Genomic DNA, 15324 nt, shown 5'->3' on the forward strand with positions numbered 1-15324 from the left:
GGCAGTATTACTTACTAAACTACTACAATCCAATTTAGCTATACAGAAGACAACACATAATTTTTAGGCAGTCAAAGATGTTGAAAATGTGGGAAAATGATTAGAAAATAAGATTTTCATTTAAATTATTTTTGTAGCATCTCCTCAGAATGTATATTATTGTGTCCGGTTTAATGACCCAATAACCATGTTTTGTGAGCAGGTGACTGTGAAATCTGAATGTTCAGGAATAGAATTTAGTTGGCTGCTTGAAGAATATTGGCAGTTCAGCTCTACCTTTTTTAGCGTCTAAAGGAACTAGAGTATAGGTAATATTTCAGAAATCAGCTGGAGAAAGGGGGTGGGGGAATCAAAGGAAAAAAACACCATTGTTCTTAGATCTCTCTTGAATACTCGTCAAGTGGATTAATTAACAAGAGAGACTCAAAAGTTGAAGAAGAGGCAATCATGACCCATGACACAGCAAGCAAATTTTTTTGTGTTACTCTTCTTGTCATATATAGGGTAGCCATGCTACCCTAGTAGGGTGGCTAAGAAGATCAGAGTCTATTGAGAGCTAAGTTAGGGTTGATACTACGCTTAGAGAATTACATGGTTTAGGGTAGAGCAACACCCAGCAATTAGTAGAATAAGAAATATGACTTGACCAAGCATACAGTATTAAAGCAAAGTATAGAACCCAGGAAGCAGATAGGAAAAGATGTAATCTAAACAGTGGGAAGTTTCTTGGGACATGATAGAAGTTGGAGATTTAGGAAGTCTCTTTCAATATATTTCTGTGAAAAATTGCTTGTGTGTCGTGATATTAGGTATGCCATGAAAAAGTCCCAAGTCAGTGTTACCTGAAAGGCGCTGTTATCAATTCAAATTTAACTTGGATAAATAAATAATGCAAAAGGGAAGAGAAGAAATGATTATTCATAAGCATATTTGTATGCTATTTCAGTTAAATTGTTTTCTTCGTATGATGGATGTTGGTTATCAGATAGTAGGGGGGATAATTTGAACACTGTACACAGTCAGAAATGGGGATAGATGTCCAGGGTTTGGACTGAGAGTGAGCAGTCTGAGGGCAGTCAGTGCTTCAGGGGTTGGGGCCAAGCTGGAGCAGAGAAGACGACTCCAAAAGATACAAATGTGTGTTTTGTCATAACCCATTCTGTGCTCAAAACAAATGTCCACTTCGATTTTATTTTTTCTAGAGACCACTTTGCCTCTTAACTACATCTCAGAAGATCATATGTAAATAGGCCTTGACTTTTTCCATCGCAAACCAAGTACAGTAGCCGTTTAAATTTTATCCAGCACCTGCCTTCCTGCTTACACTATACTGCTTTTCCAATAGTTGGTTAAGAATGTTCTTTTCTAAGACATACATTTCTTGCTCATGATCCCTTTTGATTACCTCATTCATTCATTTTCTTCAACAGATACCCACAAACACCCCCCCAACACACACTCACACACATGTTAAAGTAATAGTTATAATTGTGCTGTCTTGATTTGGCTGTAATGTCAATGGACAAAAGAATTCTTTAATTTTAAGTTGTTTAATATGTATTTGTTTCAAAATTATGGCAGCACAATTAAAATTTTTATCTGATAATTTCTTATTTCTGATGACTAAAGGTTAGATTACTAAAGTGTTTACCTCTGATAATGGTTAATTTTTTTTTTTTTTTTGAGACAGGGTCTTGTTCTGTCACTCAGACTGGAGTGTAGTGGTGCAATCATGGCTTGCTGCAGCCTAGAACTCCTGGGCTCAAGCGATACTCTCATCTCAGCCTCCTGAGTAACTGGGATTACAGGCACACACAACCACACCTGGCTAATTTTAATTTTTTAATTTTTAATTTGTAGAGATAGGGTCTTGGTATGTTGCTTAGGCTTGTTTAATTCATTTTTAAAACATCTCCCACTCTATGTAAAACAATATCTCTTTGGACAAATTTAGCAGACATTTCCTGTATTTGGGATTGTTTTGGAGAGTATCCTACAGGTAGGAAATTATTTCCCTTTCTGTTGTCTACTGGGATGCATTTAGTCCTTGGCACATTTATGAAAAGTGTGATAAGTGGTACAATTACTGACAATTTTGATGGTGATTTTGAAGATGTGATATGGGATGTCTGCCCTTTTAGAAGAGCAATTTAAACTACACAGTCTACTAAATAGCTGCAGTCATTTTTTGTCTGCACCTTCTAAATGAGGGCATTTTAATCTGTTCTGCTATATATGCTATAAACTATGGCATGTGAGTTGACACAAAAATCCTAGTAGTGAAAGTTAAAGTAGAAAACTGGTATACCTTGAAGGTAGGCATTGTAACTTACAGACTTTCTATATCCTATAGCGTCCAATATATAGAGTTTAAATATAACAGAGACTTAAGAAATGTTTGTTGAAATAACATCAAAATGTATGATGTAAAATCAGGTAACATTTCTTGACTGCTTAGGTCCTAGTTAGGGAAGTTAACATCTATTTTCATTATGTCCATGTAAATGTAATGGAGGGAACAAACAAAACTGCAGGAAGAAAAATTTTCCCATCTTCAAGAAAAAAGACTAAACTTTCATTCTCATAATTTTTTTCACAGACTCAAAGTTATTTTTTTCCTTTCCAATATAAAGCCACTGTTATTTTTTTTTAAAGTAACGGTTTCAGTAGTTTCTTTTAGACCTTTCTTCCATTATATAGAAATGGTTTTGGATTGAGATGGCCATTATATTGTAGATATAACTTACAAGTAAGTAGTTATAATCTCTTTTATCAGGACCATTAAACCAATGATTTAAGTGTATTTCAGACCTTAAGTTTCATAATATTCTTCAAAAAATTGGAAAATGTCCAAAGCCCATAAAAGACTAGTGGGAACATAAGAAAGGTTAGAACTAGAAAGGCAAGACACATGTTTGATGCTGTGTAAGCAATGGGGAACATGTTCAATGGTTTGAGCTAAATGGGGCACTTCTTTGTGAGAGATGAGAGACTCGCAACATTTATTAAATATAAGACTAGAAAATCTAAGACTATAGCCAAATAGTCTTTTCTACCTATTTAATCCCTGAGTAATTGAGACAAATGTAAATAATATAGGTCTCAACTGAATTTGCTTACGAAGTGCTGAAGATGTCAAAATAGAGGAAGCATCTAATTGCTATTAATTAGGGACATGCCAAATTTTCTTTTACTCATTTTTAACCACACAGATAACAGAACAATTTTATAGGAAAGCACAACTTTTGAGGTAACTCATTAATAAATATCAATGACCTTGCTCAGGAGCCCAGGAGGGAACCTGTAGTTTGGTGACCTTGTGATAGATCACATCCACACCCGAGTTATCCTTTGGTCTCTGTGGTAAGTGCTGGTAATAGCAGGTTTTAGGAATGATTATAAGGCTGAAGCAAATATAGCTCTGTCAGTCAGGATAAGGATCTGGAGGTTCTTGGAATGAGTGAAATAAGAAGGTATGAAAGTCAAGATGAACATTTCTAGTAATATTTTAATCAACTATTAACCATTCATTATTTGGATAAGGTTTTCAGTGATAGTTCTTGCTCTAGAGTATAACTTGCTTTCTAAGTAATAGCAAACTGCTTCACTTGATTTATCCTGAAAGTAATTTAGTTAGGTAGAAAATTATATAGCTTGAGTGTTTTGCCCTTTTTTTTCTATTTAAGATAACAGTGAAGAAAAGTAATTTTTTATTTTTATACCTTATTTTAGTAACTAAGGGAATCATCTATTTTTAAGAAGGGACAGAGATATTTGAATGTTTTCTGAAAAAGATACTCTCTAGCAGAGTAGAAAACTGAAAGGTGTAATTTCAAAAGTTCTAGACTTGATTTTATTCTCTAATTAGAAAAAGCTAACATCACTATGTTCATATTACCTTATACTTACAAATAGAATTTCCAATCTCAGATGTAACTGAAGGGATAGATAAAATTAAAATAATGAACACCCTCTATGTTAAAAACATGGAAACAAGCAAAAACCACAAAAAATAAGAATAACCACCACAACAAAACAAAATGCTGTAAGTACACCTACTAAACAAATAATTGATCTCAGGTTCTAGATAAAAGTAGCTTTGTTGTTTTTAAGAAAGTATGATCCTCTTTAGAAGATTTTATCTTAAAATATTCCAAGTACAGAGAGGACCATACCAGGAGTCAACATAATTCAGTGTTGATTTAAAGCAATCTATGTTAGATTTTTTTCAGAATTAAATATGGTTGCAACTCCGTGTGAGGGTAGTTACCCATATTATATATATCTGAAAGTAAAAATTTTTGGTTCTTACCTTTCAGAAATATACAGTGATGTTAAAACTGGATTAATTTGATAATCTAAATGTCAGTTTAAAGCATTTAAACAGTATTATATTTAAATGGACTGCTTCTAAAATGTAACGTATAAAGATACATGTTTGTTTATATATCTATAATTCGAAGTATTCTCTGATTGTATCTGGTCATGATGTTAGAAGTATTGTCTTTGTTTATTGGTGTTTTTTAAGAGCTATTGGAGGTAGTAGAGTGTTACAGTTAGTGGAACATAGAACCATCATAAACCTCTACTGATGTGCTGTTACTGAGTGACTTAGTAACTTTACTTAGTAACTCAGAACCTTAAGCTGGGCCTTAAAGCTTCTAAATTGAATGATTCTAGGAAGAAACCCCTTACTTTTTTTTCATAAGGTTTGTTAGAGAAAGTTCTCAAACATGTATTTATGATTGTCTGAACTTTAAAACATATTGATAAATCTTTGGACTCAATTTACATGACATTGACTTAAATTTTTACAACAAAATTATCCTAAAAGAATAGCTACTTTCTTAGTGGCTTGATTTATCTCTTCCTTGTGTAATTTTTCAAAGTGATATATGAATAAAATCTCATCCTTTTCTTACTGTGCTATCTGAATAAAGATGATCTTCTATTATATACTATAAATCAATATGCTAATTGTTTTTAAACTAATACCTTTTAGATTTACTGAAATGATGTAGATAAAGACTTGATAAAATATTTAAAGGCAAGAAGTTAATATTTAGCTTTTTATTCTTAGGTAATCATAACTTTCAGATTTAATCCAGTACTATTAAATTTGTGTTTATCATTTGATATTGTCTTTTAAAACATTATGAAATTTTCTTATAATTTCCAAAAGCATGAATAAAGGCAACTCTAATACACTAAAAGACATGTTCAGAAAGAAATATAATATGCTGAAAATTTTTTTCTAAAAGTTAATAGGAAAATTGTATGCAGTTACACAGACACATTCTATGCATTATGTTGCTTACAAAACAAAATGTGTATTTTTAGAACTTTATTTTATTGCCCCCAGGCTATTTTTTTTGTTTTATTCAATTTCTCAATTTATGCTATGAATAAATAATTGTATTTTCATTTGTACTCTTTACATAAATAATAGGTGTTAATCTTCCTATTTAAACATTGCTATTATATTAAAAATGGAAAAGTATTGGCTTTTTTACTGATGTTAATGCTGATGTAATTTTTTTTCTTCCTACTGAGTTTACAGTGTTTTTGCTGTCTGGTAGGGACTAGGTAACTTTTGTTTGGAGCCAGCAGGAGGAGCTCTCACCTTGCTGTGTTCAACGTAATTAGTGTGCCTGAAAAACCTGAATTTGTGGGGGTTTTGTATGTGAAACAAATGATAAAATTAAAATATTTACTACATATCTCTAAAATTCTAAATTTTATTTTAATATTGAAATATAATTCACCTGTCTGAAATGCAAATTTGGAATCTTATTTTTTTAAAGAATTTTTAAGAGGTATCATTGCAATTTAATCAAATAAAGCAGTTAGGTCAATCTTGTTTCTGGAAGATACTAAGAAACAACAAAAAATGTTTTCTAAGCATTTGCACTATAATAGGTACATACATATTTTCCTTTTTTACTTGTTTTGAAGTGAATATACTTCACAGTTTACAACTATGAATACTGAGAACAAAGCAGGCTTAATATGTTTTAGAAACAATAATTAAATGAATTAATGAATTAACTTATTGGTCATAATTCCTATATAAAACTTATAAAAAGGAAATAGCTGTTGATAGATTTCAATACGCATTAGAGATTTTAGACACTTAGCTCTAATGAAAGCCTTGATTTGAATGTTGTGATTTGTAGGTTGTACCAGTGAATTTTCTGCAGAAATCTTTGATGAGAAAATTAGAATAAAACTTATGAACATTTAAAAATCACCATAAGAAATACTGATGTTTCTCTCCATTAAGTGAAGTACATATTAAAACAATAATGAGTTACTGTTGCACACCTGATAGAATGACTTTAAAAAACTGGACAAAACCAAGTCCTGGTTTGTACAGGAATGGGAAAACCATACATTTCCCTATTGTGAATCTAAAATTTCACAGCAGTCAGTTTTGGAATCCAGATGGATAGTTTATTTAAAAAACAAACATTTTCTGTATAACCCACTAATCTTACTCCTTGTTATTAACCCTGGAGAAATAAAAGCATAGGTTCATATAAAAAATCTGTATAGGAAAGCTTAGGGTGGCCTATGTATAATGTTCTTAACTGGAAATAGCCCAGATGTCCATCAACTAGGGAATTCCATACAGTGGAATAGGTTTCAGCAACAAAAAGGAACAGTTGAAACATGCAGTGACATAGATGGATCTCAAATGCATATGTGAAGTAAGGAAACCAGGCTCAAAAGGCTACATGCTATATGATTTCATTTATTTGACACTCTGGAAAAGACAAAGCTACAGGGAAAGAAATCAGATTAGTGGTTACCAGAGGATGGGGTAGGAAAGGGATTTCTTATAAAGGGCCACAAGAAATTTTGGGAGGGTAATGGACGTATTCTCTAGCTTGATTGTAGCCATGGTTCCATGGATGTAGGAGTTTGTCATGATTTACAAAAATGTACATTTAAAGAGGGTGGATTTGTTGTGAGTCAAACAAATTTTAATAAATCTAACTGATAAGACATGGGGAAACTTATAGATTTAAAAAAAACACTTAAACAGGAATGCCAACTAACTTATTAGCATTTATTTGAATCTCGGCTTCTTTTCAAATGAGACAATAAAGAATATTGAACACTGTCTGGATATGTCATTGCATTAAGGAATTTTTATATTAATGAATTAAGATATTGTAAGTATATTAAAAGAGTATTTTGGAAATACATGTTGAATTTTTATACAGGTGAAATGATAAGATTCCTGAAATTTACTTCAAATGAAATCTTATAGTGGGGAAGTAGGTAAAAATGTATACAAGAAACAAGATTGGACATTAATTGGTAATTATTGAACCTGAGTGATGAGTATGTGAGGGTTCATTGTACTGTTTTTTACTACTTCAAAAAGTATTTGAAAATTTCTCACAATAAAAATTGATTAAAATTTATGACTTAGTTTTACAAATGTATGTTTAGTGAATAGATTTTAACAATACTAAAGGAATATTCTGCAATGAGTAAGTAGAGTTTAACCCAGGAATTTAAGGATACTTTCATATCTGAAAAATGTATCAATAAAATTTATCACAGTGGTTCACCTAAGTAAAACCTCAGAATCTTTAGAGTAGACACCAAACAGCAGGTGCCAAATAACATACTCACAATTGCATTTTAAAAAATTATAGATGAGAAACCCCCAGCCAGGTGCCTTGGCTCACACCTGTAATCCCAGCACTTTGGGAGGTCAAGGTGGGAGGGTCACTTGAGGCCAGGAGTTCAAGACCTGTCTGCATAGCATAGTAAGACCTTGTCTCTACAATAAATGAAAAAATTAGCTGGGCACAGTGGTGCGTGCCTGTAGTCCCAGCTACTCAGAAGGCTGAGGCAGGGGGATCGCCTTGAGTCTAGGAGTTCAAAGCTTCAGTGAGTATGATTGTGCCAGTGAACTCCAACCTGGGCAACAGAGCAAGACCTGTCTCTTTAAAAAACAAACAAAAAAAAAAAAAAAAAAAAAGGAAAAAGAAATCTCACTTCCTTAACAAGATGAAAAACCAAAATTAATGATGTGGTACCAAAGCATTGTTTCTCAGAGTGAGGTTCATGGCCTACTGACATCTGGAGGCCTAGGAGGTAGTAGTTAAAAATAAATATCTGCTGAATCATGAGCTGTCCACATTTACCTGCCAGAAACGCTACAAAAACCCTCCTTAGTTGATCTCCATCTGTCTTTCCCAATCGTTTCTATCATCTAACTTTCCCCAAGTAGTCTCCACCCCTACAACTGAGAACTGATTTAGTCATATTTCAGTTAGTTTATAGAAAGTATTCTAAAATAAAAAAAAATCTTATCATATCTGATTGAAACCCCCTCATCCTAGACCAGTTCAAATTGGATCCCGTTTGTGAAGTTCTCCCAGAACTGCCAACCCAACTTTAGCTTAACTTAATTGCTAAGATGTTAATATAATCTTCACTTTTATAACTTAACAGAAAATGTTGTTATGTGTTTACATGTCTGCTTTTTTGACAAGATTATGAATTACTTTTGGTCAGGAAAAGAGATAGATGGTTTTTACGTTTGGTTTCGCATCTTATAGCCATAAGTAAACTACCTAGTGTATATAATAATAATGTAGTCAGTGCTTTAAAGATTATAAGATTTTTCAAAATGAGTTTTTTTAATACTTGGCTGATAATATATAAGGACATTTAATAGCACAAAAAGAGAATCAAGAAATCTGCTTTAATACAGGATTTTCTTCCTGAATGTGGTCTAAAAATACTGTAAATGAAAGTGGGGGAAAAGCAAAGGTAGTTATTTTATCAGTTTTAAACATCTGCTATTAAAAAGACTTAATTCTGTTTAATAATTTCATTTAGCATTGTTTAACAAAAATATACATACTTTAATTTCTAAATACTTTATGCATTTTATCATTACTTAATACTATTTTATATTAATATTTAATATGTAAATTTCTGAAGATAACTCATTAAACTTAATTCAGTGAATAATAGTAAGTGTAATTGACATTAATGATTTTTATTATAACTTTAATAATTTAATATATTTTTGCATTAGTTGAGAAATTCATGGAATTTTTATTTTCTATTTAATTCCAGTTGTGTTGCTTGATACAACAACTGTACTGGGAGAGCTAGGATGGAAAACATATCCATTAAATGGGGTAAGTTTAAATATCTGAAAAATTGCTGTCTTTTTTAGATTTTTAAGATCTCCTAATAGTTGATGGAACAGTGAATTTTGGGCCCTACTTGTTATGAATTTTGACATATAACTTACATCCCATAGAAAAGGTTAAAATACAATTAGAACTGGTAATCAGTGGGAATGATATGTAAAGCTCCTTCCTCTCTCCTAAATTAGTAATTATTCTTTAATACTGTGTTTATACATAGTGACATTAGAATATCTCCCATATAAATATTTTCCTTAAATATAAATTTCTGTGTGTAAGTTTATATATGTTACATTTATGTTAAATTTGATAACCTCGATGAGTATTTGTGCATAAATAAACTTTAAACTACTGTAGTATAAATGGATTGTGCAAATATTAACAATTTGGTTTTTAATACAGAATACAAGTCTACTAAAATATTATGCATTTTTGAACTTGGTGAAAATATACAAGGTGATTAGGTTTTTGTTAACTGAAATAGTTGTATTTAAAGGCTTGTTAAGGATGTGTAATTTGCAAAATATAGTTTTTCATGGACCAACATTTTAGCTATGGTTGTACTTGACTTTTTATATATTTTTATATATTTTGCATCATTTTCATATTACAATATATGTCTACTTCTCATTTTCACACTGAGCTAAAATAAAAGGGTGGTTTCTAAAGCATTTTGCTTTGATTTTTGTCTAGTTAATCAAAATATTGAATAATAGAGGCAGTCACATGTTTTCAGATACACTTGGGTTAGCTTTCCTTTTTTTCCTTAGAAATGGTAATTTTCTTATTAATCACATTCTTAGTTGACATTTTCACATTGCTTCTTCTATTATATCTTCAAATTTAAACCTCAAAGGAGAAATTGATCCAAATATGTTTTATTCTTTTAGAATCTTTCACATATTGCTGTTTGAATTTGACATTTTACAACAACAGTTATTCACTAAGTGTGTATTTTCAACTAAAATATCCTATGAAGAGTGAAATCTTCCTCTCTTTAACAGCCCATTTGCTTCTTTAAATTTGTAAGTTTTATATACTGCGAGTTTATTTTTCTGAAATTTTTGTTTATTCTACTAGAGCTCTTATCAAACTGTTTCTGAGGTATATATCTTAAACTAGGATTATGCTTTTATCTTCATTGTCTTATTTCCATTAAAATGAATAAACATTCGTATTGTTGAGTATATTAAGTGGGTCATGTTTTTACTTTTAAGAAATGAATGAAACTTTTCTAAAATACCTTTTGTGTGTGTGCGTGTGTGTGTGTGTGTGAGAGAGAGAGAGACAGAGTGTGTGTGTGTGTGTGTGTGTCTAATCTTATGAACAGTAGAATGGATAGGTGGTATAAATAAGATTTTAAAAATATGCAATTTATTTATTTTTTCTTTTTTAGTGAAGAGGATAGATTACTGGTACTAATGGAGCTTTACTTAATGCTATTTATAGGTTAAAATAAGGAACTATTCAGTAAGGATGAAGAACTTGGGAAAGAGGCTACTGAAAATGCCAAGAATGAAAATAATCTAGGTATCAATATAGGTTACAGTACTTAAAATCCACCAGAACCATTAATCAGTTTATAACATGTAAACCAGCATTTATATCGAAACATTAAAATTGTAATTATATCCAGTTGAAATCATATAAATTTTTCAGGTACTCAGTTTCACTGAGGCATGCTCATTTGATTGACCATTTTAACAATTACACTTTTACATAGACACTAATTCAATTGATTTTACAAATATGTCATGGGTGGAAGAGACATGTAGACAATATAATTGGCAATATATGAGGTAAAGTATGTTTGGTATTATAAATAATGTATTTCTCAGGAATAACTTTTTAATTGAAAAAAACTCTTCCTATAAAGAATTGACATTTTTGAAATTGTATAATGTGCTACATAAAATATAGGTAATTTAATCATTGATTCCATAGATTTTTCTTTTTACTTAAATTCATCATTCCACTAGTAATATCATGCTGATATAGTTACAGAATTAGGCATTCAGAGTGTGCCTGTGAACAGACTGATAAATAGTCATTTCAGTGGAAAATTGAGCATCTCTGGTGGTTAGTAATTATGGAAAAAGGATGAATAGTCTGAACAAATAACGTTTTAGGCTTACAGAAATGAAAAGAGAATTATGAATTTTCTAAAACACTTGCTTATCAATTCATTTGTGCCAACATTTAAAATATACTTTTTCTTTTAAGCATTGTCCTGAATTCAATTTAACAAACTTCTGTTTTATGCTGCTCTATGCCAAATACCCTGTTATTGTGCCTAAGACAGATTTTTCTACCCTCAAGGGGTATTGAAGCACAGCGATAATTATACAGAATCACTAGGCCAAAGAATGTGTCTTCAGGTTGTTCTGAGTAATGTTTTGTGAAAGAATAATAAAAGGAGAGGTTAATTCTGGTCAAGGAAAATTGGGAATAAGAAGTTGCATGTCAGCTCTTTCAAAAAAAAAAAAAACGTGAAGGAATTGGCCTTGAAAAAAAAGGGAGAAGGCAACTTCTAGGCGAAAGGAGTGGCTTGAGCAAAGGCACAGAATTATTTCATGTATGTATCAGGTTTTAGGAATGCTGAGAATCATTTGGCCTGTAGGGTTGCAGTGGAAATAATCATTTGGCTGGAGTGGAGGTATACAGTGAGAAATAGGACCTGTAATCATAGGCTAAACCACATTTTGCAAGACTTAGAATTTCACTAAGTTGAGGTAGATAGTGCATATCTCTGCATCAGTAAGTTAACTTTTAAAACCTATGTTTAATGTGTACATAGTGGATGAGATCTTTGTTACATAGTTGTATTGGACTTAGATATAGCCACTATAGTATATAAAATCAGATATCATTTTCAACAGTGGAGTACCTGTTAATTAAACATTAAGACAAAATTGATGTTAGGAAAACAAAAGTGCTGTTGGATGTTACATCACATTTTATTTTAATGGCAATTGGAGATTAGAAATCTTTGTGTTTCTCTAATACTGAATATTGGTTTTGAATATCATATTTTATAGATAATTTTTGTGTGCTCTGACTTAGATGATCACTAGGGCTTCAGCAATGCAATATAGTACAAGATATGTGATCTTATCTGTTGGACATAGTGAATTGGTATTAGGAAACTTACCCTGAAATACTTCATGTATTGGTCATGGTTCTTTAGAGAAAAAGAACTAATAGGAAATATATCTGTATCTGTTACACATATCTATATCTGTTTTTCTACCTAATGAGAGAGAGATTTAGATTTATTTTGGGAATTGGCTCACATGATTATGGAGGACATGAAATCCCATGATCTACAAACTGAAGAACGAGGAAAGTTGGTGGTGTAATTTAGTCCTAGTCCAAAGGCCCGGGGAGTGGGTACTGACATCAGTTCCCAAGTCTGAAGACCCAAGAACGAGGAGCTCTGATTTCTAAAGGCGGGAGAAGACAGATGTCGCAGCTTAAGAAGAAGGAGCAAATTTGTCCTTTCTACATCTTTCTCATTCTATCTCCACTTCAGTGGATTGGATGAGGTCAAGTTACATTAGTGAGGAAGGGCAGATATTCTTTAATTTATCTATTGATTCAAATACTAAGCTCTTCCAGAAACATCCTTACACACACACCTGGAAATAATGTTTTAGCAGTTATCTGGAAATAATGTTTTAGCAGTTATCTTTAGCCTAGTCATGTTGATACATAAAATTAACCATCACAGTTAGGAAAATAAACATGTCATTCATGTGTAAATAAAAGCTGTAAGTAAACCTAACAACTAATGATTTTTATTTTTATAATAAAAGAAGCAGAGATTACAATCAACCTCTGTAGAAAGATACTTTATTCCATTAATCGGAGCCCATCATTTCCTAATATAATTTTTCCAAAGGTGAAAATCAAAGGTTGGATGTACTATGATAGAGAATGGAGTAACTACCAATAAACATTTGTTTTTATAATGCAATTTATATATTTCATATAGTAAGAAGTAATTCATCATAGTAGAAGATTTCAGTATTACATTTTGATTCATCCTAAAATTGAAATTATCCAAAACTATACCATGTGCATATTCAAGTTCTGAAAATGTAAATTTTGGTGATAATTTCTGTTGGTGAATATGGAGTGCTATAGTTACTGTTTTCAAACTGATATTTAAATATTTTTTCTTCTTAGAAACTTCACAACATATATGGTAATGTTCTAAACACCCGTCATGTTAATTTCAATTATATTGTTCCATATTTCAAAGAAATGCATTAGGTTTTGTTAATTAATCAATTCTATCAGTGTACATTTCTTTAATATCCATGTTTGTAAGACATTTTATAGCTGTGAGGTGTTAATTGCCATCCACATAAGGGAAAGGACTTGATAATAGTACTCATATCATTAGATTATTAGAAGGATGAAATTATGTAATATATGTAAAGAAGTTAAAACAATGTCTGGTTCATAATAAACATTACATAAATATTATCATTAGGAGTAGTGCAAGAACCCCAAATATTTTAAAGAAATGAAAAATCCAGACTTCTATATAGACCATTTGTTTCTTTGCTTTTTCCAGAATCATGTTTTATCATGTATCAAATATTTTTTTTTCTGAACCACAATTATATTTTTGTGCCTTTGTTTACTTAACTAATAAGGCAAAAATGTAGAATGAGTACTTTTTTCATTTAAATATAAATAAAATATACATGTACACTCATTTATTTAATCTTTCACCGCACATTATGTGAAAAATGCTATTTTGTGTACTGGAAGTGGTGGTGGACATGGTCAGTCATTACAAAAATATATGAACCCTCTTAGGATCTAGTACTAGTTATGATCTTTAGCTGTGAATACTATATCCAGGTTTGCTTGATATATAATCAAAACATATGTTATATTTTATTAAGTTAGCTTCATAACCAAGAATTGCCAAAGCAAATATGGGCAGTAATAATAGAAAGACTCATTGACCCTAGATGTGAGATTTCAGTGTGGTAACGGCCTCTTAAAAGATGCTGAATCGAATTAACCAGGAGATAGAATTTGAAGGCCAGTGTGTTAAGTTCCTTGAAAGCATTTCCCTAGAAAAGAAAAGTAAACCTGGATACTCACTTGGAAGCGATAGATAAGCGAGACATAATTCTTACATTTCTTCATTTGGTTTGATGAGTCAAATATTTTAAAAGATCAGCCTGCAAATGAACAGCCTCCTGCACAAAATCTTATGTGATAGCTGAGCATATTTGAAGATGGTCATGTTAAGTACCCAAACTTTCTCTTATAATCATTTGCAGTAGGAGGAACACAATCTGCAAAGCCAGCGTTTGTTTCTTGAGACCATTCCTTTCAGGGGCTTGTCCCTGTTGAAGCACATGTCAGCACAGGTGAGCTCATGATTGCCTGGAGATCTCCTTGTGGCTCCTGTGACAAGCAGAAAGGAACACATTGTAGGATAGAAGCCTCCTGTGTTTATGGAGGGTGGCTTCCAAAGTTGCTGTCTCCTCTCCTCTTCCTTGCTTTATGTAGATTTAAATTTCTGACCTATTTCATTTTTCTTCTCTCCAAAGAATGTTTTTTAACATTTCTTGTTCTTGCAAGGTAAGTCTGCTGGCAACACATTCTCTGAATTTTGTTTGAGAAAGTCTTTATATCTTCTTCACTTTTCAGGGAAAATTTTACAAAGTACAGAATTCCAGGTTGGTGGGCTTTAACAAATCTCTAAATACTTTAAATATTTCACTCCACTGTTATTGCTTGCATGGTTTCTGAGGATGAATTGTATGTAATTCTTATCCTTGCTCCTCTATTCTTAAGGTGTTTGAGTCTTCTGGATTCTTTCAAGGTTCTTTATATTTGCTTTTTTTTTAAATTTGATGTGAAAATATTTTTTGAAGTTTGAATACAGTATATGTAGGTATAGTTTTTCTGGCATTTATCCTGCCTAGTGTTCTTTGAGCTTCCCGAATCTGTGGTTTGGAGCCTGACAATAATTTGGAGCAATGTCTGTGTCATTATTGCTTTAAATATTGCTCTCTTCCTTTCTCTTTTTTTCCCCATTTGATATTCCCATTACACATAAACTGTTGGGTTTCTGCTTCCTTAAATTATGATTCTCAGGCCGAGGTGG

General features: G+C 31.7%; 1 protein-coding gene across 14 annotated transcripts in view; it reads left to right on the forward strand.

Moving 5' to 3' along the window:
- EPHA6 (EPH receptor A6) overlaps positions 1-15324 on the forward strand; it is a 946939-nt gene that overhangs the window by 43123 nt on the left and 888492 nt on the right. For 13 of the 14 annotated variants that reach the window (XR_001740110.2, XR_924126.3, XM_017006211.2 and 10 more), the window contains exon 2: positions 9109-9173. Coding sequence is in view for 11 of the 14 variants with exons in the window: in XM_006713592.4 (XP_006713655.1) it covers positions 9109-9173 (65 nt within the window). In the remaining 3 variants the exon portion in view is untranslated. Of the gene's footprint in view, positions 1-9106; positions 9174-15324 lie in introns of those variants that run through there. The other variant, XM_017006212.1, reaches the window with a different exon arrangement.

Source organism: Homo sapiens, chromosome 3 (genome assembly GCF_000001405.40).
Source record: "Homo sapiens chromosome 3, GRCh38.p14 Primary Assembly".
Classification (NCBI taxonomy): domain Eukaryota; kingdom Metazoa; phylum Chordata; class Mammalia; order Primates; family Hominidae; genus Homo; species Homo sapiens.